This window comes from Homo sapiens, chromosome 4 (assembly GCF_000001405.40).
Source record: "Homo sapiens chromosome 4, GRCh38.p14 Primary Assembly".
NCBI classification, from domain to species: Eukaryota; Metazoa; Chordata; class Mammalia; order Primates; family Hominidae; genus Homo; species Homo sapiens.
In genome coordinates, this window is record NC_000004.12 from 558184 (window position 1) to 584956 (window position 26773).

The window sequence follows — 26773 nt, forward strand, 5'->3', positions numbered from 1 at the left end:
AATTTTTTGTATTTTTAGTAGAGACGGGGTTTCACTGTGTTAGCCAGGATGGTCTCGATCTCCTGACCTCGTGATCCGTCCGCCTCATCCTCCCAAAGTGCTGGGATGACAGGTGTGAGCCACCGCGCCGGGCCGAAAACCAGTTTTTAAAGCTAAGGAACAGGAACACAGAGGAAGACACTGAGCCATCAGTAAAGACGCCTCACTAGTAACTGTGGAAACGCAGATGAGGTCAGCAAGGTTGACCTCACACCAGCAAATGACAAAATCACACCAAGTGCTCAGCAAGGCAGAGGAGATGGGTTCCCTGTGCTGCTGGTGTGGCTCACAGATGTTGTATGTTGGGACCTTCACGGAGCACAGCAACCCTGCAGTGCCTGGCAGACATGCCCTCGGACACACGCCTGGGTGTGGGACCTGAAGAAAGTCCCATCTCTGGGCCGGGCGCGGTGGCTCACGCCTGTCATCCCAGCACTGTGGGAGGCCGAGACGGACGGATCACGAGGTCAGGAGATCGAGACCATCCTGGCTAACACGGTGAAACCTCGTCTCTACTAAAAATACAAAAAAATTAGCCGGGCGCGGTGGCGGGCGCCTGTAGTCCCAGCTACTCGGGAGGCTGAGGCAGGAGAATGGCGTGAACCCGGGAGGCGGAGCTTGCAGTGAGCCGAGATGGCGCCACTGCACCCCAGGCTGGGGGACAGAGCGAGACTCCATCTCAAAAAAAAGAGAAAAGTCCCGTCTGTGAGCAGAAGGCAGGTCAAAGGATTTCCACTGCAGCGCTGATTAGAATCGTGAAAAAGGAAATAGGCGGAGAGCCTCAGAAGCGGGATCCTAAATAAACTGCAGTTTCTCTGCATGGTGGGATACGATGTATTGATTAGAGTGACTGAACCAGATTCATAGGCATCACCGGGAATGAATCTCAAAAACGTGATGTTGAATGCAAAAAAGCATATTGCATAAAGATTAAATACAATATGACATCATTTATCTGAAGTTTTCAAATATACAAAACAATACAATATCGTGCGTACAGGCACACAGTGATGGCACAAACACAGAAACATGGCCACAGCCAACACCTGGCCAGCCACAGGCGTGAGGTGACCACAGGGTCAGGGGAGGATAAGGGGAAGCTCTAGCTACTCCTGTAAGTTTACGTCTTTAAAAATAAAAGGGAAATGTGGATCAAATATGGGGAAAAATTTTAACTATTATAACTTAAATTTTTTGTATTTTAATTTTGATATCAATGCAAACTGAATCTCAATGATGGGTACATCTGTGTATATTATGTCCGGTACTACATGCTCAACATTTTTCCTAATTCAAAATTAAAGAAGCTTGTGGGGAAAAGAGACTACTCTAAGTTAGACTAGTCAGCAACCACTAGCTTTGAGCTAGCCTGGGTGACAGAGACTCTGTCTCAATCCCCCCCAACCCCCCCAAAAAAGAAAATGATTTGGGGCTGCTTTTCATTACAAAGAAAAGCCTTACCAAGGACTCCCATGCCCTTGCTATCTGCCTAAGCAATTCCTTCTTAACGCCTATATCACTGGCACCTGGCGTCCCAGCACCTGGCGTCCCAGCACCTGGCGTCCCAGCACCTAGAGTCCCAGCACCTGGAGTCCCAGCACCTAGAGTCCCAGCACCTGGCGTCCCAGCACCTAGAGTCCCAGCACCTGGCGTCCCAGCACCTAGAGTCCCAGCACCTGGCGTCCCAGCACCTAGAGTCCCAGCACCTGGAGTCCCAGCACCTAGAGTCCCAGCACCTGGAGTCCCAGCACCTAGAGTCCCAGCACCTGGCGTCCCAGCACCTAGAGTCCCAGCACCTGGAGTCCCAGCACCTAGAGTCCCAGCACCTGGAGTCCCAGCACCTAGAGTCCCAGCACCTCGTGTCCTCGACCTGTTTGATGGGTGTTGAATGAAGAAAATGAAAAAGACTCGTTAGTAGACAGCGCTGAGTTGAAGGTCTTAGGGACAGGTGTGTGTAGTGCATGTGAGACAGATTGAGGATGGATGGGTGGAGGGTGGAGCCACTAGCAGAGAAGGGAAAGCTGTCGGGTTTGGGGGAAAGTCTGAGTCTGGCGTCTTGGGGGACCCCGAAGGGGTGGTGAGCAGGCAGATGTAAGCACCCAGAGGTCTGGAGGTAGGTCGTGGTTTTCACACTGCTCACCCACTACCTGGGCTTATCAAACTCCCACAAATGCCACCTGGGAACAGAACCTGGGTCCTGCCTTGCAGCTGGAATAGGGCCGGGTTCAGATTCCAGGAGAGCGCCTGAATCAACAGCTGCTGTCAGCTCCATCCTTGATCACAGAAGCATGTTCTCCAAGCCTCCATTTTCCCACCTATAAAGCGATTGTTTTCAGGATAAGGGAGGCAGTGAACCCACAGCCTTGGCAAAGAGGGTCTGCCCTGAGATATGCTCACAGGACAATTAGCTTTGATGAGGTGCTGCTGATGCCAATGAAGTCGGTGTGCACTCGGCGTGCGGGCAGCGTTGTCTGGTTCACTGCAGAATCCCAGAGGCTCACACAGAACCTTCCATGAATGCTTGTTAAATGTGGTATCATAACCTTCAGCAGGTGACAGGCACCAAGGGGCGTGGCCGCCTGGAGCATAGAAAGTCCTTGGAGCCTTCTGTTCCCAGCGCAGCCTTGAGAAATGGGTGGGGATGGGCCAGACAGGCGGAGTGGGGTGGGCTCCACAGGAGCTCGGAGCAAATTCCACACGGAGCGGTTCCTTCCAGCAGCAGCATGTGTGGGTGGCACAGTGGCAGATGAGCTTCAATGTGGGAGAACGCAAAGTCACGCACTTAAGGAAAAAATAACCCGAGTTACGCTTAAAAAGGCAGGAGGGGCCCTCCTGGGCAGGCCCCCACAGACTCTCTGGGAGTATCATTCCTGTTCCCACGGGGGCTGGGGGAGGTGCAGGCACCTGGAGGGCCTGAGACAGCTGTGGGAAGCTCTGCAGCAAGGGGGCAGCTCCAGGGAGGCTCCCAGCAATGGTGGCCTCTGGCTGGCCCAGGACAGTAGGGAGGGGACAGACCTTAGGGGTGGTAGGAGCAGGCAGAAAGAAAGCTCCTAAAATGAACAGGATTGAGGCCAGCCCTGAAGCTCCTGCAGCTGCTCTGAGGCAGGGAGACCCCCAGGAAGAGAGGGGCCCCCAGAGGGAGAGGAGCCCCCTGGAAGGTGGCACAGCGGCCACTTTGGAGGGGGAGTGACAGCACCCATCTGGATTTGCAAAATAATTCAGTTATTTGTGGCTGTTACATGAAAATATTTGCAAATAAGCCAAATGTATTTTCAGAAAGTATTTCCCCTTAGGCAATTACTTTTAATGATTCAGCTTTTTTTTTTTTTTTTTCATCTGACAGATCTATTCAGGTTTGTGAATACCCGTGGTCTGCCATGGACTGGGCCTTTGACCAGCCACAGGGCAGCGTCCTTGCCACCAGCCGCCTGAGCTCCACAGCAGCCAGCCTGGCACCCGCATTGCATGAGGGAGATGCCAACCTCGAGCTTCCACTCAGCTCTGCACCAGGTTGAATGGTGTCCCCCCAAATTCTTGATCCAGAACTTCAGAATATGGCCTTATTTGGAAATGGGGTCTTCACAGATCACACTGGATTAGATGGGCAACAAGAGCGTCTTTGTAGGAGACCGAGAAGGGCACACGGACACACGGCAGAGAGCCCCCATGAAGGCAGCAGAGGCTGGCACAATGTGGCTACAAGCCATGGAAGCCCAGGGTGCCAACAGCCATCAGGAGCCAGAGGCCTGGGACAGATTCTCCCTCAGAGCCTCTAGAAGGGGCCAGCCTGGCTGACGCCATGATCTTGGACTTCCAGCTGAGAATCCATAGTTACTGTTCTAAGACACCCAGGGTGTGGTAGTTTGTTACAGCGCCCCAGGAAATTAATACAGGTCCTAAAATGTCTAGGCCTCTGAGGCAGTACAGACCCCTGAGGCAGAACAGATCCCTGAGGCAGTGCCAGGCCCTAAAGCAATACGAACCCCTGAGGTAGTACAGGCCCCTGAAGATACTCCAGGCCCCTGATGGAGTGCAGAGCCCTGAGTGGGTATGGAACCCTGAGTTGTTGGTATGGAACCCTGGGGTGGTATGGAGCCCTGAGTTGTTGGTATGGAACCCTGAGTTGGGATGGAATGCTGAGTTGGTATGGAGTCCTGAGTTGGTACGGAGCCCTGAGTTGGTATGGAACTCTGAGTTGGTATGGAAACTTGAGTTGGTATGGAGCCCTGAGTTGGTATGGAGTCCTGAGTTGCTATGGAGCCCTGAGTTGGTATGGAACCCTGAGTTGGTATGGAATCCTGAGTTGGTATGGAACCTTGAGTTGGTATGGAGCCCTGAGTTGGTATGGAGTCCTGAGTTGGTATGGAGCCCTGAGTTGGTATGGAACCCTGAGTTGGTATGGAACCCTGAGTTGTTGGTATGGAACCCTGAGTTGGTATGGAGCCCTCAGTTGGTGTGGAACCCTGAGTTGTTGGTATGGAACCCTGAGTTGGTATGGAACCTTGAGTTGGTATGGAGTCCTGAGTTGTTACGGAGTCCTGAGTTGGTATGGAACCCTGAGTCGTTGGTATGGAGCCCTGAGTTGGTATGGAACCCTGAGTTGGTATGGAGTCCTGAGTTGGTATGGAGTCCTGAGTTGGTATGGAAACTTGAGTTGTTGGTGTGGAACCCTGAGTTGGTATGGAGCCCTGAGTTGGTATGGAACCCTGAGTTGGTATGGAGCCCTGAGTTGGTATGGAACCCTGAGTTGGTATGGAGTCCTGAGTTGGTATGGAGCCCTGAGTTGGTATGGAGTCCTGAGTTGGTATGGAGTCCTGAGTTGGTATGGAACCTTGAGTTGGTATGGAGTCCTGAGTTGGTATGGAACTCTGAGTTGGTATGGAGCCCTGAGTTGTTGGTATGGAACCCTGAGTTGTTGGTATGGAACTCTGAGTTGGTATGGAGCCCTGAGTTGGTATGGAGCCCTGAGTTGGTATGGAACTCTGAGTTGTTATGGAGCCCTGAGTTGTTGGTGTGGAACCCTGAGTTGTTGGTATGGAACTCTGAGTTGGTATGGAGCCCTGAGTTGGTATGGAGTCCTGAGTTGATATGGAACCCTGAGTTGGTATGGAGTCCTGACTTGGTATGGAGCCCTGAGTTGTTGATATGGAACTCTGAGTTAGTATGGAGCACTGAGTTGGTATGGAACTCTGAGTTGGTATGGAACCTTCAGTTGGTATGGAGCCCTGAGTTGATATGGAACTCTGAGTTGGTATGGAGCCCTGAGTTGGTATGGAATCCTGAGTTGATATGGAACCTTGAGTTGGTATGGAACTCTGAGTTGGTATGGAGCACTGAGTTGGTATGGAACCCTGAGTTGGTATGGAACCCTGAGTTGGTATGGAGCCCTCAGTTGCTATGGAGCCTTTATTTGGTATGGAACTCTGAATTGGTATGGAACCCTGAGTTGGTATGGGACCCTGAGTTTTTGGTATGGAGCCCTGTGTTGGTATGGAACCCTGAGTTGGTATGTAGCCTTGAGTTGGTATGGAACTCTGAGTTGGTATGTAGCCTTGAGTTGGTATGGAACTCTGAGTTGGTATGGAACCCTGAGTTGGTGTGGAACCCTGAGTTGTTGGTATGGAGCCCTGAGTTGGTATGGAACCCTGAGTTGTTGGTATGGAGCCCTGAGTTGATATGGAGCCCTGAGTTGCTATGGAACCCTGAGTTGGTATGGAGCCCTGGGTTGGTATGGAACCCTGAGTTGGTATGGAGCCCTGAGTTGGTATGGAACCCTGAGTTGATATGGAGCACTGAGTTGGTATGGAGTCCTGAGTTGGTATGGAACCCTGAGTTGTTGCTATGGAACCCTGAGTTGGTATGGAACCCTGAGTTGTTGGTATGGAACCCTGAGTTGTTGGTATGGAACCCTGAGTTGGTATGGAACCCTGAGTTGTTGGTATGGAACCCTGAGTTGGTATGGAGTCCTGAGTTGGTATGGAGCCCTGAGTTGGTATGAAACCCTGAGTTGTTGGTATGGAGCCCTGAGTTGGTATGGAACCCTGAGTTGGTATGGAGTCCTGAGTTGGTATGGAGTCCTGAGTTGGTATGGAGCACTGAGTTGGTATGGAACCCTGAGTTGGTATGGAACCCTGAGTTGGTATGGAGCCCTCAGTTGCTATGGAGCCTTTATTTGGTATGGAACTCTGAATTGGTATGGAACCCTGAGTTGGTATGGGACCCTGAGTTTTTGGTATGGAGCCCTGAGTTGGTATGTAGCCTTGAGTTGGTATGGAACTCTGAGTTGGTATGTAGCCTTGAGTTGGTATGGAACTCTGAGTTGGTATGGAACCGTGAGTTGGTGTGGAACCCTGAGTTGTTGGTATGGAGCTGTGAGTTGGTATGGAACCCTGAGTTGTTGGTATGGAGCCCTGAGTTGATATGGAGCCCTGAGTTGCTATGGAGCCCTGAGTTGGTATGGAGCCCTGGGTTGGTATGGAACCCTGAGTTGGTATGGAGCCCTGAGTTGGTATGGAACCCTGAGTTGATATGGAGCACTGAGTTGGTATGGAGTCCTGAGTTGGTATGGAACCCTGAGTTGTTGGTATGGAACCCTGAGTTGGTGTGGAACCGTGAGTTGGTATGGAACCCTGAGTTGGTATGGAACCCTGAGTTGATATGGAGCACTGAGTTGGTATGGAGTCCTGAGTTGGTATGGAACCCTGAGTTGTTGGTATGGAGCCCTAAGTTGGAATGGAACCCTGAGTTGCTATGGAGCCCTGAGTTGGTATGGAACCCTGAGTTGATATGGAGCACTGAGTTGGTATGGAGTCCTGAGTTGGTATGGAACCCTGAGTTGTTGCTATGGAACCCTGAGTTGGTATGGAACCCTGAGTTGGTTTGGAACCCTGAGTTGTTGGTATGGAACCCTGAGTTGGTATGGAACCCTGAGTTGGTATGGAACCCTGAGTTGTTGGTATGGAACCCTGAGTTGGTATGGAACCCTGAGTTGGTATGGAGTCCTGAGTTGGTATGGAGCCCTGAGTTGGTATGGAACCCTGAGTTGTTGGTATGGAGCCCTGAGTTGGTATGGGACCCTGAGTTGGTATGGAGCCCTGAGTTGGTATGGAGTCCTGAGTTGGTATGGAGCCCTGAATTGGTATGGAACCCTGAGTTGTTGGTATGGAGCCCTGAGTTGGTATGGAACCCTGAGTTGATATGGAGCACTGAGTTGGTATGGAGTCCTGAGTTGGTATGGAACCCTGAGTTGTTGGTATGGAACCCTGAGTTGGTATGGAACCCTGAGTTGTTGGTATGGAACCCTGAGTTGGTATGGAACCCTGCGTTGGTATGGAGCTTTGAGTTGGTATGGAACTCTGAGTTGGTATGGAACCCTAAGTTGGTATGGAACCCTGAGTTGTTGGTATGGAACCTTGAGTTGGTATGGAACCCTGAGTTAGTATGGAGCCCTGAGTTGGTATGGAACTCTGAGTTGGTATGGAACCCTGAGTTGTTGGTATGGAGCCCTGAGTTGGTATGGAACCCTGAGTTGTTGGTATGGAGCCCTGAGTTGTTGGTATGGAGCCCTGAGTTGGTATGGAACCCTGAGTTGGTATGGAGCCCTGAGTTGGTATGGAACCCTGAGTTGGTATGGAGTCCTGAGTTGGTATGGAACCCTGAGTTGTTGGTATGGAACCCTGAGTTGGTATGGAACCTTGAGTTGGTATGGAGTCCTGAGTTGGTATGGAGCCCTGAGTTGGTATGGAACCCTGAGTTGTTGTGATTCTTGCTTCTAGTTCCATCACGTCACCCCAGACACCTGACACGTCCTCACTGCCTTGTCCAATCAACATCACAGTCATTTTTGCTCCTACAAATCTCTTGGACCCTCCACCTCCCTCTCCTCCGTGCAGCTTCAGTGACCCTTGGAGGCATCTCATCCCTCAGAGGTTCTCCCCTTCCTCTGCCAGGGCTCTGTCCCCTCACTGCCTTTATACCTGCCGCGGTCTGGTACCCAGGTGTGCACGCACTCCTCCCTAGAATCCCCACCCTCCCTGGATCATCCCCCATTTCCTGCCATCCTATCACCTGGGTGCTGGACTGGGGCATTAAGCACATTTGCAACAACGGCAGGAGCCGAAGTTAGTCTCCTGTGCCAGACCAGGTTGTCATTCGTCACCTAACAAAGCTGGGTCTATACACAGTAGGTGCCTCCTTAGTGCCCTCAGTGAATGAATACGAGAAGGCAGTACCAGTGTTGAAAGTCTCCAAGTTCACGAGGCAATCGAGAGCTCTTAGAAAGCTCTTACCTTGTAAGAGCTGGTCTGTCCATCCCACCCATCCTTACAACAAAAGCTAGCAGCCACCAGCTGCACCCACAACCTGCATAACATCAACTGCACCCCACCAACTACACTCAGCACCTGCACCCACCCCCTGCATCTGACCCCTGTATCTCATCCCCTGCATCCCACCCCTGCATCCCACCCCCTGCATCCCACCCCCTACATCCCACCCCTGCATCCCACCCCTTCATCCCACCCCTGCATCCCACCCCCTTCATCCCACCCCTGCATCCCACCCCTGCATCCCACCCCTGCATCCCACCACCTGCCTCCCACCTCCTGTATCCCACCCCTGCATCCCATCCCCTGCATCTCAGCCCCCGAATCCCACCCACTGTGTCTCACCCACTGCATCCCACCCCCTGCATCCCACCCCTGCATCTAACCACCTGCATCCTACAACATGTATCCACCACCTGCATCTTGCCTTGTACCTCCCACTACCTGCATCTTGCCAGGTACATCTTAGCACCTGTGTCCCACCATGTACATCCTACCCCCTGCATCCTATGACCTGCATCTTATGTGCATGGCTGGTTCTGTTGATAGAAGGTTAAGAGGATTCTAGTCCTGCCTTCAGAAGCTCAGGGGCTGACCAGGGGTTAGGCTGGGAGCTTAGGCACTTCTCCCTCTCAGGGAGTGGCTGGTCTGGTTGCTACAGGCTCCTGTGCAGGGGAATGTGTGCACATGAGGTCCAGACAACTCCATGGGGAGGCTACTCTCAGGCCTTACGTTGAATAAAATGTTGGCATTTTCCAGATAAAAAGGCAGAAAATGATGCTGTGCGTGGAGGGACAGCCTAGGAGGGCTTAGAGGCTGGACATGGTGCCCAGGCAGGTCTTGGAGCTGGAGTGCAGTGTGTGGCTGAGGATGACTACAGCAAGGCCTGGTGAGTGAAGCTGTCTGTGACCTGAGGGGCCTGGGGAGTTCTTGGTGGGCCTGGAGGACAGGGCCTCCTGCCTAGTTTATGTCCTGCCCAACACTGCTGGGTACTTGGCCAGTTGTGGAGAAATACTCACAGGCAACCTGACTGCCCCAAAGGAGCCTCTCCCAGGCTTATGGTGTGAGGCTTTGCCACTCCTGGGGGAGAGACACTGGGGCTGGCAGCAGGCTGAAGATGCAGGCGTGCAGGCACTGCACTGTCTTCTGTCTTTCTGATGTCTCTTTCCCAAGCCCCTGGGGAGGGGATGACGCATGGTCCTGTGTGGCCTCTGGGAGCCCCTTGAGAAAGCATCTAATGCCCCTTTACCAAGCTGCAGAGCCTGCAAGCCCAGACCCAGGAGGAGGAGTCAGGCGCAGCTGTGTGGACCAGACATTTACAGCATCTGGATGCTCCTCTGAGGAAAAGAGTTGAGAGTGTCCTACTATTGTAAAATGCACAGAAATGCACGACCAGGTGGGGATGAGGCTGGGCCTGTGGTCCTGCTTCCCCTGAGGGCCAGCTGTGTCTGGTGCAGGGTGGGGCTGGGAGGCCAGAGGACCTGAACACATGCTTTGGGTAAGTCCCTTTGCAGCTCTGTCTCCTCTTCTGTAAATAAGGCAACACGGGCCTTGCGAGGACAGACCAGGTCAACGGCATGAGCACTGGAGCCACGGACTTGTCGGCTGCCATGTGGCTGCCACTGTTCCATCATTCCCACAAGTCCTGCCTGCACTGGCTGTGTTCCCTTTCCCAGCCTCCCTGCATTCACCTCCAGTCAGTCACCTGCCTCCCCAGTGCATGTCACCTTCCAAGAAAGACACATGATCCCCTCAAAGTGCGTCTGGCCTTGGCCTCAGCCTCAGCACCTTCCTGCTGTCCCCATCCACCTGTCCAGTCCCATCCCTCATCCCCCTTCTCAGTCCCAGAAGGCCAGGCCCATCTCAGGGATCCCCTCTTCCACAGGGCTGTCCCCACCACACCCCTCATGCCCCCAGTGTTTGCCCAGGGACCACCAGCTTCAGTGGTCACACCCATTTTCCCAGGTACCCACGAGGCAGGACCCCCTTACCACTTCCTCCCTGGCTCCCAGGTGCCTGAAGCAAAGGCTGAAAAGTTGGCCTGAGAGCCCGCAAGGTTTTACTTTCCTTCTTCAGAAAAAGCACAGCTCTTGAAGGTTAGGGTAACCTGATCTGATCTGAGTTCTATGAAAATGTTGCATCAAGAATGGAGGTGAAGGCCAGGTGCGGTGGCTCACATCTGTAATCCCAGCACTTTGGGAAGCCGAGGTGGGTGGATCACCTGAGGTCAGAAGTTTGAGACCAGCCTGGCCAACATGGTGAAACCTTGTCTCTACTGAAAATACAAAAATTAGCCGGGCATGGTGGCAGGCGCCTGTAATCCCAGCTACTCGGGAGGCTGAGGCACAAGAATTGCTTGAACCTGGGAGGTGGAGGTTGCAGTCAGCAGAGATCATGCCATTGCACTCCAGCCTGGGCAACAGAGCAAGACTCCATCTCAAAAAAAAATGGAGATGAAGAAAAGAGATCAGGCAATGATGTTCAGACAGTGTAAAAGGGAACTAGCAAAACGTGGTGGGGCCACAGCAGGTGCACAGAGGCTGAACTCAGGCCCTGGAGGATGGGAGGAGGGCAGTGGAGGTGCACAGCCCTCCAGGTGCCATTGGAAGTGTGGGCTGGGGCTGCCCAAAGCCGCTGCCAAGCCCATGGTGGGGGGCAAAGAGCCCCCCTGCTCTCAGCGCACCCCGGGTGGTCTGGCCACTTGCTACCATATAGTCTACCAGAAACAGGACGATGACCACACAGGTGGGGTGAAGGATTGTTTTGTGGAGTATATTGTATTTTAAAACAGCTTTTACTGATCCAAAAGTGATATTCTATTGAGGATCAATAGCAGATAGAAGGCAAAATGTAGTTCGTATCAGCTGAAGCCTCTCCATGTGAAATCCACATGAATAGGTGGATTCTCTGGTAAACGTGGAGGTTTTAAGAAAGCTGCTATGGACCAGGCTCCGTCATGGAGCCCTCTGGCTTTCTGCTGTCACCCCAAGGAGTCCTCAGGAGAATTCAGTTGTGGGGACATAATGATATTTGCACACTAGTTTCCTAAATTATTTTCTTCTTCCATTTTGTTGCTGTCTTTCTATCACATGCTGGAAGGCAGCAAGTTAAGCAAAGGCATAGGGCCACTGAGAAACCGAACCCGCTGCCATCAGGCCGCTGCCTCTGCCTCATTTGAAAAGGCTGGTACATAGGTACACAAACAATGCATACTTATTTGCATGCCAGAATTCACTTTTCTTAAGGTCTCTACCATTTAGAAATTTTCTCTTGTATTTTAGTGAAAAAAATAATGCTTTGGAGTAATGATGACTTTGAGGGGCACTGAAGGACACCATGCTGCTCAGCAGAAGAGCTGGGCCTGAGGGTGACACATGGGGGTGCCGGCCCGGTCAGCACCAGAGTCAAGTGTAGCAGTGCCTGAACACCATGGACCTGCCTTGGGGCCTAGGAACTCCTCCTGGCACATCTGCCTCTCCGCCCCTCCCCTCACTGCTCACCCGAACTCCAGCGCTCTCCCGAAACGGCTCCACCTTGCTGTGCTGGCCCACAGGTGATGGCTGCCCCACTAGCCTGCCCCAACACGGACATGACACAGCATTCAGGGAACCTGCATGCAGCTCAGCACTGACAGGGCGCCCTCCCAGGGACATACTTCCTGAGTGCTTATGCTAAGATGCTGTGGCAAGGGCGGCCAGGACAGCATGACCCAGTCCACAGCCAGGCCACAATGCCCTGCACGGATTCCTCCTGCACCCTGGATGCTCCGTGCAGGGCTGCTGGCCTGGCCCTCAGACACTACCCAGGAGGCCATGTGTGTGCATGTACAAGTGTGCACCCATGTGTGTATGTGTAGGTGTACTGTGTGCGTGTGCACGTGTGTGAGCACGTGTCCATATACACACATATGCATACCTGCACACGCGTGAGCATGCACCCATGTGTGGATGTAGGTGTACTGTGTGTGCAAGCATGTGAGCACAGGTTCACATATACACGTATGTGTATGTGCAGGTGTACTCTGTGTACATGTGTACACATGTGAGCACGTGTTCATATATACATATATGCATACACACATTCAAGGCTTCCTCCTGCAGTGCCTCAGGACACCAAGCAGGAGTAAAAACTTCAATCACCTGCAGTTTGATCTTCACAATAAAAAACCATCTGACTGATTTTTAGAATTAAATTATTGTTTAATTGCGTTTTCAGTCAAAAATCTCAGTTATGTGGTTCAAATTCATGTTGCCAAGGCCACAGCACCCGCTCCGACCAAGGAAAGGTGTGGAACTTCAGATACCTAAGACCCTGGCTTGCTTGGTGACCGTGCTGCCCAGTTCTGCACAGCATCATGTGTCACCTCTGGTAAGTTATCCCTTAAAGTCGATGCCTAGCCAGCCACGTGAGCTGTGAGCTCCTACTGCTGAGCCGAATCACAGCTTTGCGTTTAAAACAGTAACTTACAAACTCAGCATTTTGCCATGTAAAAATGCTAAAATGTGTTTAATTTTTTATCTCATCGTCGTAATAAACTCTTGGCAGGGAAGCAGAATAAGACTCATTTTTAGAAAGGTCCAAGAACTGGCTGGGCGCGGTGGCTCACTCCTGTAATCCCAGCACTTTGGGAGGCCGAGGCGGGCAGATCACCTGAGGTCGGGAGTTCGAGACCAGCCTGACCAATATGGAGAAACCCCATCTCTAGTAAAAATACAAAGTTAGCTGGGCATCGTGGCACATGCCTGTAATCCCAGCTATTCGGAAGGCTGAGGCAGGAGAATCGCTTGAACCCAGGAGGCAGAGGTTGCGGTGAGCCAAGATTGCGCCATTGCACTCCAGCCTGGGCAACAAGAGTGAGACTCCATCTCAACAACAACAACAAAGAAAAAAAAAGAGAAAGAAGGAAAGAAAGAAAGAAAGAAAGAAAGAAAGGGAGAGAAAGACCCAAGAACTGGCATTATTTTGCAAGTAGCACAACAAAGAACCCACTCTCAACCACCAACTTCAGGTTTTAAAAAGGTAGAATGAGCATGAATAAAATTGCTGCCGTGAGTTGGGTAACCTCATTATTCAGCTAGAGCAGTAACTAGCAAGTCAGTGGTAACTAGGAAGGAAGATTGATGTCTTCGTGATGCTCCACTCATTTCCCTGAGAATTGATCTTTGGGGCAATTTGAGTTTAGAGGTATGTGGGATTCTATTTCCTCTGGTAAACTTAAAAAAAACAAACAAACAAACAAAAAAAAAACCACCTTGATATTCCACATTAGTACATGAACACCTATGACAGTGGAGGTAAGAATACTCCCGGAGTTAGGGACACTCAATCTTAAAACTACTCATCTAACTTTCTGGTCACACGGAAGAGGCCAGTTTGCCCCAGCTAGGTCTCTGTGCACCCCTAGATTATCCTGCCACCCCGGCCAGGGAGGTGTACACAGGGACAGGAGGGTGTGCACGCAGGGACAGGACAGGTGTGCTTGCAGGCGACAGGACGAGTGTGCCCGCAGGAATAGGAGGGTGTGCACACAGGGACAGGAAGGGGGTGCAAGCAGGGACACGAGGGGTGTGCAAGTGGGGACAGGACGGGTGTGCAAACGGGCGACAGGATGGGTGCGCACGCAGGTACAGGAGGATGTGCCCATAGGGACAGGAGGATGTGCGAGCAGGGACGGGAGAGTGTGCCCGAAGGTACAGGAGGGTGTGCGTGCAGGGACAAGAGGATGTGTGCTCAGGGACACGAGGGTGTGCACGCAGGGAAGGAGGGTGTGTATGCAGAGGGATAGGACGGTGTGTATGCGGGGACAGGAGGGTGTGCGTGCAGGGACAGGAGGGTGTGCACACACACAGGGACAGGACGGTGTGCCCGCGGGGACAGGACGGTGTGCATGCAGGGATAGGAGGGTGTGTCCACAGTGATAGGACGGTGTGAAGCCTACTCCTGGCCATGGGCCTCTGCCCCTATCTTCTGCCTTCTGTTCTGTCCCAAGAAAAGCCTGACACTCTAAAGAGGTCGCCGATTTTGATCACAAGTTTGAAAGACTCATAAGGCATCTAACATTTTAAGCTGTACAAACAAAATTAAAACTAAACACTTCGGAAAACAAAAAGCACACAAGAAATTTGGCTTTTTGCATCTGCACTGCCCATGCATTTGCTCCAGCCAGGGCAGTGCCAGGCAGCCTTCTGCAGGGAGCCACCAAGTGCCCACCCCCGGGCAGGTCCACCTGGCTGCCCCTGTTGCGTAGTTCTGGGAGGCTGGCCTTGCAGCCACCTGAGAGGCCTCTGCTCGGAAAGCAGGAGGCACCTGACAATGCCACGCTGATTGGATGTGAGCAGACAGAAGGAAGTATCTTAAAAGTCACACTGCTCTGCCAGCGATCACATTTTTGCTTAGGTTGATGACTGCTGGGCTGGTTGTCCTGGGGCAGGAAAGGACTGGGCTGTAAATGGACAGTGGGACCAGTCAGGTCATGCCCTCTGTCTGGCTGGACCCCCTTTCTCACTCCACCATTCAGGGAGGCCTATTATGAGCCACTATCTGAAGAAGCCTGTGGATGAAAACCTAGTAAATTGGCTGTGATTCTTTGTCCTCCAGCAGCATCCACATAGCAAGGAGAGGACACTGGCCCATGGCATCTTTGACCAGATCCCCAAGCTTCGCAGTAACTGAGCAGGCATCAGCAGGGGAAGGTTTGCCAGCTCTGGAGATCAGCCCCCTGAATGGTGACAGGTTTCACTTCCCATCATGGAAATGGGGCTGGAGCCTCCTGCCTCTTGTGGCCTCTGCAGTAGCAGGGAAGCCCAGCCAGAAGCCAGCAGGGATGGGGGCCTTGGTCACCAGGGGTATAGGGAGCTCCAGCTTTGGGCAACTAGGAGCTGAGGAGAGGCCTCACTCCAGAGCCTGCACCTGAAAACTATGCTCCATCCTTAAATTTGGCTACTTTTTCACAGCTATAAGTAGACTTCCATACACAATACAGATATTACACGTGGTTTCTGTAGCTTCTCTCTCCTAACTGCTCTGTGCTGGCACTCACCCCGCAGAGCACTGGCTGCCTCCCCAGTCCCACGGCAGGAGGTACTCATCTTTCCCACCAGGCTGTGGCTCTGCTCCCAGCTGCTCAGGGTCAGCAGCTACCAGCCTGATGCCACAATTCCAGCATGTGGGAGTCCGATCACCTTTTCCCAAGACTTGGAGCCGGACTGGCTCCCAGCCAGCCCAGCAGACAGATGGAAACACACTCCACGAGCATATGGAACTCATTTCATATCATGTGTGAAAACACACACACACATAGCCTCATCATTTAAAAGTATGACCTTCACATCAATTAAGGCGATTACGGGGTATATTTGAAATGAAATGCTATCATACTCAAAATTACCAGATTAATGAAATAATCAACAGGAAAATTATCTATGCCAGAAAAACTATGACTGATTTTCCGAAATAGGATTAAATTGTTCATATGTATTAATCAAAAATAAGATCTGCTTTGCAGTCGAAACCACACAACCAGTTTCCAAAAAAAAAAAAAGAAAAGAAAAAAGAAATGTATGGGATGTGGCATCAGGGTCTCTACACACACAGAAAGTTAGCTTTAGAAAGAGGCTGGATTCAGTCAACTAGCTAGCAGAATACAACTGTTCAAACTCAACATTTGTCCGACCAAATGAAACCATTTCCCCCCACACTGACTTGTGCGTAGACATCCTCTAATTCCAATTTGATGAATATTCTCCAATAACATAGCAATTAATTTAATAAAGGAACTCACCAATTTTAAATTGCAATAAATTTACCAAACATTTTCACTATTTATGGAGAGCTTTACAGTAAGAAAGTATCAACAAAAGCAGGCACATCCGTGTACAAAGTGTTGCTGTTGGGTGTTCTCACTTCTTCTTTCTGAATTACCAGCTGCTCTGCGTCTCTGTCTGCTCTTCCTCCGTGGGAAGTCGCCGTCCTGGGGCGCTCGCTCTGTCCCCCTCGCCTCGGACCACCAGGCAGAGCAGCCCCAGGGTTTGGACTTGCCAAGAAAAGTGCAGTCGGGCTAGCCAAGCCCAAACATTTATTGTAAACTTGAAAATGGAATCCAGATATGAACGACACAAATAAGAAGAGAAACCTCCCAGATACAGAAATGGTCACATCAGGGGCCCCCTCCTGTGGTCACGGAGCCCGCAGAGGGGGCCAGGCCGGAGGCTGCAAAGCCACGTGGAAGAGGCGGCGCCCCTGAGGCCTGGCCCTGGACCCCGCCCCGCTGCCCGTCCTCCCTTGCCGCGGGGGTCCTGAGCGGGGCGGGGTGGGTGGAACGCAAGCGCGGTCCGCGGGATGGGGGTCCGGCCCGCGGGATCAGCAGGCCCGATGGGTCTCCCAGGGCCGCGGCGTCTCGCAGGGCGGCCGGCAGCAGTAGGGGTAGGAGGCGTTGAGGTCGGGGTCCGAGGGCGCGTACCCCGGCAGCTCCACCGACGGGTGCCCCCCGCAGCGCACCTCCGCGCCCGCCTCGTCCAGCGCGTGGAGGACGCCTACGTTGATGTAGGAGACCGCGTGGTGCGCCGCGAAGCCCGCGCAGTCCCCGGGGGCGGCCAGGTCCGACTCCTCCGGGGACAGGATGGAGGCCTCGCTCGGCCGCTGCTGCAGCCGCCGCCCCCGCCGGCCCCGCCGGCCCCGGCGCGCCCGAGAGGCGGGCGGCTGCGCGCGGAGCCCGGAGCCGCCGCGGGGCCGCGCCAGGGCCCGGCCTCCCCTCCGCCTGCCGCGCCGACCGCGCCGGGCCTGCGACGACTTGTAGTTCTTGACGAGCAGGAGGCTGAGCAGGCCCAGCAGGCACTCAAGCGAGTTGAAGACGGTGGAGAGCACCAGGCCGCGCTGGTAGTCCTTCAGCTGGCGGCACTTGGCGGACGTGGCGCTGTCCAGGGTGCTGCGAGCGCGCGGGGCGCCGGGGGCCGAGCCCGGCGCCGAGCCGGGGGCCGAGCCCGGGGCCGAGCCGGGGGTTGAGCCCGGGGCCGAGCCGGGGCTCGAACCTGGCGCCCGCGGGGGCAGGCAGTAGTGCGAGTACTTGCGCTCCACCAGGGACACGGTGTCGCCGTCGATCACGGCGCCCGCGAATGCGCTGAGGACCCCGAGCATGAAGACCAGGACGCCGAGCAGAAGCAGGTTCTGGCTGCTCACCGGCCCCGGGGCCCCGGCCGCGGCCCCCGACTCGCCCGGCGTGGCCTCGGGAGCGCCTGCCGGCGCCGCGGGGACCCCCAAACCCGGGCCCGGTTCCGACCCCGCGAGGGGCGCGTCCCGGGGTCCGCAGCAGAGCAGGGCGGCGCCGAGCAGTGAGAGGCCGGCGGCCAGCAGCAGCCCGGAGTAGAAGGCGCCGGCGGCGGCCCCCAGGCGGAACGGCTCCCCGCGCAGCTCCGAGCCCAACGAGAAGCACTTGAGGCCGACGGCGGCGGCGCTGAGCGCGCAGGCGAGCAGGAGGCAGGAGGAGAGCGCGGCGCAGGCCCCGCGGACGCTCCACTTCATCCTCCGCGCCCGAGCCGGCCCGCACCCCGCGCGCCCGCCGCCGCCCGCCGCCGCCCCCGCCGCCTGCGCCTCCTCCCGGCGCCGCGCGGCCGGACCGCCGGCCTCCTCCTCATCCTCCCGCGTCCTCCCGGGCCCGCGCCGCCGCCGCCGGAGCCCGCATCCTCCGCCTCCCGCCGCCGCCGCCGCCGCCGCCGCCGCCGCGACCCCGCGCCGGGAACCGATGCGGCGCAGAGACCGCAGGGCGCGCGCCCCCTCCCCAGCCCGCGGGGCCCCTCCCAGGAGGCTCGTTCCCCCCCAACCCCCCACCCCGCCCGCGGCCCCGCGCGCCTCGCCCTGGCGCCGCCCTTCCCCGCCCCCGGCAGCCCCCGCCACCCCCGGGACGCCCCTCCGCTTCCTCCTCCCGGAGCGGGGGCCCCTGGCCGCGTCTCTCCGCCTTCCCTCCCTATCCGCGCCCCTATCCGGCGCGGGCCGCTGCGGAAACGCAGCTCTCCACCCCCAGCTGGCTCTCCCGGACCCCCTGGGCCCCACCCTCAGCGCTCCCCACCGCTCGGCGCCCCTGCGTCTGCGCTCCCCTCTCTCCCCTCTCTATCCACTGGGTCTGGGCCGCACTTCCCGCCCACCCGCCTGCCAGCGGCCGGGAAGCCTGTGGAAGTTATGGGGATGCAGGGAGAGGGGGAGAGGGGAGCTTGTGTGCTAGGGGTGAGTGGGTATGGGGGAGAGCCTGGGTAAGGAGAAGGGGAAAGGGGGAGCCTGGGAAAGGAGGGAGGAAAGGAGGAGAGCCCGGGTGCTGGGGTGGGGGGGAAAGGAGCCCGGGGAGGGAGGGGGAGGGGCCGGGAGCTGGGGGGGGTGGGAAGGAGCCCGGGGAGGGAGGGGGAGGGGCCGGGAGCTGGGGGGGGGTGGGAAGGAGCCCGGGGAGGGAGGGGGAGGGGCCGGGAGCTGGGGGTAAGGGAGGAGTGAGCCTGGGTGCTGTGGGGGGAGGGGGTTGTTCAAGGGATGGGGACGATCAGGGTCTCTGGGAAGTGCTGACGTGTGCGCGTGTGCGGTGTGTTGCTTGTGGGTGCGTGTGTGGTGTGTGCATGTGTGTGCGCGCGCGTGTGTGCGGGGTGTGCCGTGAGCGTGTGCCCGCGGTTCGGGGGATGAGTAGGGGCGCTGACTTTTAGGACCAGCCATTTGAGTCAAGCTGGAGACGACGTCTTAGAACCTAGGATGAGTCTCGTTTGGTTTTAGTCTGCAAAGCTCGTCTGCATCAGACAGGAATTTTCCCCAGACGCGGGTGCACGTGAATTAATTCATCAGAAGGCGGTTCACGGCCTGAGTGAGGGGGACGAGGGCGGCGAATTCCTCCGCCTCATTCCTACCCTGACGATTCGAGGTGGGTGAGAGGAAGGCGTGGGGCGGCTGGGTGCGTGGGGTGGGGGAAGGTCACCTCTTCGGCCTCTCTGGGCCCTCCAGCCTCTTCCTGAGAGGAGCTCGCCTCGGCCCCTTGGTTGGGGGGATGGGAGCGTCTCCGGAAGGCCCTCGGCCGAGCAGCTGGGCCTGCACCCCTGGTCCCTTCCAGTTCGTTTCTGCTGCGGCGGCAAGAGGCTGGGGAGCCGATGACTCACCCTGCCGGCTAATTGCAGCGTTAAATAACTTTGCGCCGGATTCGGTGGCTGCAGCAGGGAACGCGCTCCGGGCGCCGGGGGAGGTGGAGGGACGCCCTGAGAACGCACCTCCGTCCCTGTCACCAGCCTTAGCAAGTTCTGGCCTGTGGAGCCGTCATCCAGAGCGCACAGCTTCATGCCCTTGAAGGGCGCAGTGTGTCCCGTGGTGCCCGGTGGGCCCGGACAGAGACCCCAGAGGCTCTGTCTGAAGGAAGCTGCACCCACAGACTCCATCCAGGCAGCGCGGGCGCGGTCCTGTCGCCTACCTTTCTCGGAAGCCATCTGCCCATGTGAATCTATGTGAAGGCCCTTCATGCGCTCCTGGACATCTGCGTGGGATTTACTTCAACTGCTATCGCTGCGAGGAGGACGAGCATGTTTCACTGTATTTTTAGCAGAGAGTGCAGATTTTAGAACCTCGCGAACGGTCCTGTATCTCCTGCACGATGACTCTCCAGAACAGGAATAGTGACCCTTCCTTTGCATTTATGGTGCATAGGTTTTCAAAGGACAGTGTGTAAATCAGCTTGTGTAATAATTGTGGCACCCACGCGCGCAAGCAGACTTACCATGAGCTGACTTCCACTGATTATTTCAGTTTCCAGGGAAACGAGGTTTGCAGCCCCCTCCAGTGAGGGCGGAGCGGCCTCTCCATTCCCAATGCAGCAAGGCTGCTGCAGCCACGATGATTAGGCTTTGGAGGAGGAAGTGAACGGATGGGGCCTCATCCTCCTGCCTCCCTAAAGGGTGAGGGTGGAAGGATGGGGCTGTGCCCTCTTAGGGCAGGGAAAAACAGCTTGGAGGGGTTTCTGCCATCAGAGATCCCATAGGAGGCAGGTCAGTCCTGCAGAATTTCTCCCCAGTCTGGCCTCCAGCCTCCCTGGCCCCTTTCTAGAGGCCTCCATCCCACTGGCGGCTTGCTCCTGCCACCGGGCCTCTGCACAGTCACCTCCTGCAGCCTGGGGTGTGTCGCCTCTCCACGTCCTCACCGGCGTCTGCCTTTGCATTTCCCAGATGCTCGCTTCACCCCACTGAGATGTAACTCAGTTTTGTGGGATCCCACTGCCCTCCAGGTGCCGCTCCGAGTGCTCTACACAGATTTTCATTCAGTCCTTGCGGCACACGAAGGTAGGCGGCCCCACTGCCCTCACAGAGGCTTCCCATGCAGGAGCCAGTGACTGGCGGAGCGCCGCTCACACTCAGGCTCCGCGAACTGCCTCCCTGCCCTCCCCTGCCCCGGACAGACGGTCCTCCATAAGAGGCAGGATTTCCCTGTGGTCCAAAGGTGTGTGTCCCTGCCACATTGGGAGTTCAGCTCACTGCGGTCCTGTCCAGCTTGCCCCCGTCTCCCATCCACATCAGGATCTGGCTTTGCCCCAGCTATGTGGAATGAGTGCATGAACAAATGAATGGGTGGGTTGCTCCATCTTGTGACAGGACAGCAAAGTCAGCTGGTTCTGCTCCTACGGCGCTCAGGGTCAGGTGAGACAGGCCGGCCCGCAGGCAGACAGGCCCTCATCTCTGTATTGGGGGTGGGGAAGGGGCTCTGGCAGGGCGCATGCCCCAGCAGCAGGAACGTCAAGAGCAGAGGCCCTGGAGGAGACAGCCCGGAGCTGGCGCACAGTAAAGTCTTCAGATAGGAGGGGCAGAGTGAGGGTGCCACCGTCGGGCAGCAGGTGCCCACCCAGAAGGGTCTTTGAGCCTTGCGGGGAAGTTCAGACTTTACCCTGAGGATAAAGGAGGTCCTGGACCCGCAGGAGGATGCCCTGGTGGGTCTAGAAGGAGCCCTGCCACTGGGGAGCTGGTGGGGTTTCCGCCCTCACGGTGCAATCACAGGGTTGCCTGCTTATCTCCCCCGCCCTTTTCCCATCACTTCCTGAGACTCTGCAGATGGTCAGCAGTGTTCCTGAGTGGATGACATTGGGTGGGCAGAGAGAGGGGAGGGCAGTCTGTGGTCCCAGTCATGTAGAGCTTCCTTGTACAGTCTGTGGTCCCAGTCATGTAGAGCTTCCTTGTACAGTCTGTTGAGCTCACATACCCTCAATGGCCCTTCACTCACAGGGATGGCCTCTGCACTTCAGCTGGTTTCTGACACCTAAAAACAGAAGTGGAAAAGGGAGCAGACGCAGCCACATTTTGAAAGCTGATTCGGTTGCTTTCTGGCAGAATCCCTGCCCCCAAGCACCTGCCAGGCCCACCCATGAAGCCTCTTCCCACGCCTTAACTCTGCCCCATGAGGGGACCTCAAGCAGTTGCAGTCTAGTCAGGTGATTTGCAGAGCTCAGGGCTCAGGGAGGGGCACCCACCTCAGAAAAAAGCGCCGTGCTCATGAGAAATGACTTCTACAGGTTGTTGGGGAAAGAGGAGTTATTTTAAAGATCACAGAGCCCGTGATGTGCCAGGCGCACCCACACAGGGCATATAGTCCCCGCAGCTGCCTCTGTGCTGGGGCCACGTCACCGTCCTGTCCTAAAGACAAGCAATGTGAAGCCCAGAGATGGTATCTTAAAACAATCGTGTGGTTTTTTTCTGATTACAACAGCAATTGTGTTAATCCAACAATATTTTTCCTATCAACTGTAAACCTTATTTTAATATTTACATATTTATTAGCATTTAAAATTCAATCTCCTAGAATATTGACTTCAATTAGTTTGGCTGATTCTAATTTTTTTTTTCTAATTTGTTTATCACTTAACTTTTTAAGTACTTTTTTTTTTTAGACAGAGTCTTGCTCTGTCACCCAGGCTGGAGTGCAGTGGTGCAATCTCGGCTCACTGCAACCTCTGCCTCCTGGGCTCAAGCGATTCTCCTGCCTCAACCTCCCGAGTAGCTGGGACTACAGGCTCACACCACCATGCCCAGCTAATTTTTATATTTTTAGTAGAGATGGGGTTTCACCATGTTGTCCAGGCTGGTCTCGAACTCCTGACCTCAAGTGATCCCCCACCTCAGCCTCCCAAAGTGCTGGGATTACAGGTGTGAGCCACCGTGCCTGGCCTGTTTTTAGTACTTTTATCCTTTATCTTTTTAACTACGTAAGTACTCAACATTTTAAATTATTAATCTTCACCATGTTATTTCCAAGAACAATCACGATTGATCTTTCAGTTACACAGCCACGGTGTGTGCCTCTCTGTGTAACTCTGCACAGCTGGTGATTTACTGAAAGAACTTACTCTCATAAAACCACAGCCAGCGAGTTCTCAGAGACACAATAATGCACCTTAATTATGAGTTTAAAAGCTCTTGTCTTGTGAAATGTAATCGATCCACAGAAAAATCATAAAGTATACATGTAATAGCTTAATGACTTATAAATGAAGATCTGTATACTTCCCACTCGAAAAACGGAATATTGCAGGATTTGAGTACACAACCCGTACCTTTCCAACGACAGCCTCCCTCCCACCAGAGCTTCTGCTGAGTTCACTTGAAATCACTTCCTTGCATTTATTTATACTTTTATTACCTTGAGGTGCATCCCTAACCATTCTAGTTCGATTTTGCCTGGTGTTTGAACTTTATATTAATGGAATCATAGGACATAATTCTTATATCTCTGGTTTCTTTCATTCAACTTTGTGTCTGCGAAATGTATCCATGTTGCATGCAACGGGGGCTCATTCATCGCTGGTTACTGATTCACTGCATGAGTATGACACAGTTTATTAACCATTTCACTGCTGATGAACATTTGATCATTTCTAGTTTGGGAATATTATTAATAATTTTTGAACCTTCTTATTTGTGTGCCCTGATGTACATGGACATGCATTTTAGGGGTGTATACTTAGGGAAATTGCCGGTTCATGAGTAACACCTATCTTCAGGTATTACTTTTTGTGCCCTTTTATGCTGAACTACAATTTACGTGCAATACCAATCATTCATATTAAGTGTACAACTCAGTGAGTTTAGACAACTGGACACCTTGTTGTGAGTCACCACCACCGAGATGATCCAGCACTGTCCCAACTCCCCCCAAGTTCTCCTTTGCAGGCACCCTCTCCCTCCATTCTGGGCACAGGCAACCATGAACCACTATCTGTCACCGTAGCTTTAGTATAAAATTTCACATACATGGACTCAGGGAGCATAGAGTCTTTCCTGTCTGGCTTCTTTCCGCTGGCAAAATGCTTGGAGACTTTTCCACGTTGCTGCATGAATCAATGGATCATTTGTTTTCGTGGCTGAGCAGAATTCCACCAACATTTGTTTACTCATCCATGAAATGATGGACATTTGGTGTTTTTCCATTGAGATTGTTATGAATAATGCTGCTATTGTCATTCAAGGACAAGTCTTCTGTGAACATCTGTTTTCACTTCTCTTGGGTACATCCTTAGAAGTGGTATTGCTGGACTGTATCAAAAGTTAATATTTAACTTTCAGGAAACTTACAAACTGTTTTCCAGAGTGGCTGTACCATTTTGCATTCCCAGACCGAAGTGTGAAAGCTCCAGATGCCCCACGCCCTCACCAGCCCACGGTGTTGTCAGCCTTAATAGTGCTGACCATTCTGGTGGGTTTGCAGTGTATCTCATTGTGTTTTAATTTGCATTACCTTGACAACTAATGGCGTTGAGACTTTCATATATCTTTAGTAAAGAGTCCTTCCAAATCCTCTGCCGATTTTTTAAAAATTGGGTTGTCTTCTTGTAATTGAGTTGTAAGAATTCTTTATACGTTCTGAACATGTTATTTATTGGATAAATGTTTCGCAAGTATTTTCTCCCAGTCTTTGACCTACTTTTTCATCTTCTTATCAAGAGCTTTTAAAAAGCAAAACTTTACATTTTGATGACATCCAATTATTACTTTTTTCTTTTATGTTTTTTGTGTATTATTTAGGAAATAATTGTCTGAACCAAGATTACAAATATTTTCTTGTCTTTCAGAAGTTTTGTGGTTTTAGCTCCTAAGTGTACATCTGTGATCCATTTTGAATTAATTTTTGTATATGGTATGATGTAATGGTCAAGGTTTTTATTTTTGCATATGGATATACAGTTGTTCCAGTACCATTTCTTGAAAATAATTACCAGTACCATTAAGTTACCTTGGTACTTTTATTGAAAATCAATTGACTCTCAGTTCTGACCCATCGACTTATATGTCTGTTTTTTTTTGTTTTTTTTTTTTTTTTGAGATGGAGTCTCACTCTGTTGCCCAGGCTGGAGTGCAGTGGTGCTGTCTGGGCTCACTGCAACCTCTGCTCCCAGGTTCAAGCGATTCTCCTACCCCAGCCTCCTGAGTAGCTGGAATTACAGGCATGTGCCACCACACCCAGCTAATTTTTGTATTTTTAGTAGAGACGGAGTTTCACCATGTTGGTTAGGCTGGTCTTGAACTCCTGACCTCGTGATTCACCTGCCTCGGCCTCCCAAAGTGCTGGGATTACAGGCGTGAGCCACCGTGCCTGGCCATGTCTGTTCTTATGCTAACATCACAGTATCTGGATTATTGTAGCTCCATAATGAATGCTGGAATCAGGTAATGTGAGTCCTCCAACATTTTTACTCTTTTTCAAAATAATTTGACTATTTTAGGTCCTTTGCATGTCCATACAGATTTTAGACTCAGCTTGTCAATTTCTACCCAAAAATGTCTGATTGAGATTGTATTGAACCTATATCTTAATTTGGGGATAATTAGTATGTTAGCAATATTGAATCTTCTAACCTACATTTACTTAGTCTTCATTAATTTATCTCATCAATATTTTGTAGTTTTCAGTGCACAGGCTTTGCACACATTTTGTTAAATTTCCCTATAAGGATTTCATATTTTTATATTTTTCATTTTGTAAATGTTAATTTAAAGGAATAAGACACCCTCTTTTTTTTCTTTCTTTTTTTCTGGTTTTTTTGTTTGTTTGTTTGTTTTGTTTTTATAGAGACAAGGTCCCACTATTTTGCCCAGGCTGGTCTCGAACTCCTGGGCTCAAGCAGTCCTCCCACCTCAGCCTCTCAAAGTGCTGGGATTACAGGCAGGAGCCACCACACCTGGCCAGATACCCTCATTAGATTTTTGTGTCTATTCTGATTTCTTTAAAGTAACATTTACTTTAATAAATGTTACTATATAAACATATAGCATTAATATAAAATTGTTTGTTACTGGTACATATAAATACAATTAACTTTTTAGATTGCCCTCTTACCCTGTGACCTTGTTAAATTCACTAATTCTAGCAGCCGCTTTTGTGTATTTGGTAAGATTTTCTACATAGACAATCATGCCACAGGTAAATAGAACCCATTTTACTGCTTCCTTTCCAAGCTGCATGCTTTTTTTTTTTCTTGCTTTATTGCATTGGCTAGGTCCTCATGCATAATAGTGAATAGAAGTAATGAGAGTAAACACCCTTGCCTTGTTTCTTGTCTTAGTGGGAAACCATTTGGTCTTTCACCCTTAAGTATAATGTAAGCTGTAGTTTTTTTGTAGATGCCTTTTATCAGGTTGAAATCTATTTCTGTTTTGAGTGTTTTTATCATGAACCGTTGATGAATCTTGTCAAATGCTTTTTTCCTCGTCTTTTGAGATTATCATATGGTTTTTCTTTTTCAGCCTGTTAATATGATGAATTACACTGATTCAGTTTCAAATGTCCAACCAAGCTTGCACTCCAGAGATGAAGCCCACTTGATCACATGGATTATTCTTTTAATATATGATGGATACGACTTGGCTGTTCTTTTGTTGAGGATTTTTGTGTTTATGTTAATGAGGATATTATTTGTAGTTTTCTTTTCTTGTAATGTTTTTGTCTTTGTTCAGTGTCAGAGTAATGCCAACTTCATAAAGTGAGCTGGGAAGTACTCCCTCATTTTCTGTTTTCTGTGAAAGAATTGTATAGAATTGATGTTATTTCTTCCTTAAGTGTTGAGTAGAATTCACTTGCAAAGCCATCTGAGGTTGACATCTTCTTTGGGAATGACTTTAGCTATAAATTCAATTTATTTAACAGATATAGGGCTATTAAGGTTATTTAATTTTTTTCTTGAATGAGCTTTAGTGTCCTGTGTTTTTCAAGGAATTTTTCCATTTTATTTAAGTTTTTAGATTTGTTGGCATAAAGTTATCCCAATATTTCCTTAGAAGTTGTGACTTTTACTGCATATAAAACATACCTCAATAAAGCTAATACATACATATATATATATGAATCATTTCTGGCCAGGTACAGTGGCTCATGCCTGTAATCCCAGCACTTTGGGAGGCAGAGGCAGGTGGATCACCTGAGAT

The 26773-nt window shown here is 52.2% G+C and overlaps 1 protein-coding gene and 1 long non-coding RNA gene across 2 annotated transcripts, besides 2 other annotated features; one reads left to right on the forward strand and one right to left on the reverse strand.

Annotated features, from left to right (window-relative positions):
• Nucleotides 1–15696: 15696 nt before the first annotated feature.
• On the reverse strand, nucleotides 15697–18112 carry TMEM271 (transmembrane protein 271). Its single transcript, NM_001362796.2, has one exon. The coding sequence runs from the start codon at nucleotides 17877–17879 to the stop codon at nucleotides 16722–16724; it is 1158 nt and encodes a 385-aa protein (NP_001349725.1). The 5' UTR covers nucleotides 17880–18112; the 3' UTR covers nucleotides 15697–16721.
• Nucleotides 16305–16394: an enhancer, noted in NCBI's record as "active region_21129". NCBI's record gives its function as "activates an Ori minimal core promoter by ATAC-STARR-seq in GM12878 lymphoblastoid cells {active_cell/tissue: GM12878}" and the evidence as "EXISTENCE:reporter gene assay evidence [ECO:0000049][PMID:35858748]".
• Nucleotides 16767–17460: an enhancer, noted in NCBI's record as "H3K4me1 hESC enhancer chr4:568739-569432 (GRCh37/hg19 assembly coordinates)". NCBI's record gives its function as "activates a minimal SCP1, AML or CMV promoter by ChIP-STARR-seq in naive H9 embryonic stem cells {active_cell/tissue: H9 hESC(naive)}" and the evidence as "EXISTENCE:reporter gene assay evidence [ECO:0000049][PMID:30033119]".
• An 872-nt stretch (nucleotides 18113–18984) lies between the features above and the next one.
• LOC105374338 (uncharacterized) lies at nucleotides 18985–26683 on the forward strand. The gene is made up of 3 exons (NR_148199.1): nucleotides 18985–20136; nucleotides 20537–20650; nucleotides 26096–26683. It is a non-coding gene; the product is annotated as an uncharacterized LOC105374338 (long non-coding RNA).
• Nucleotides 26684–26773: the final 90 nt, after the last annotated feature.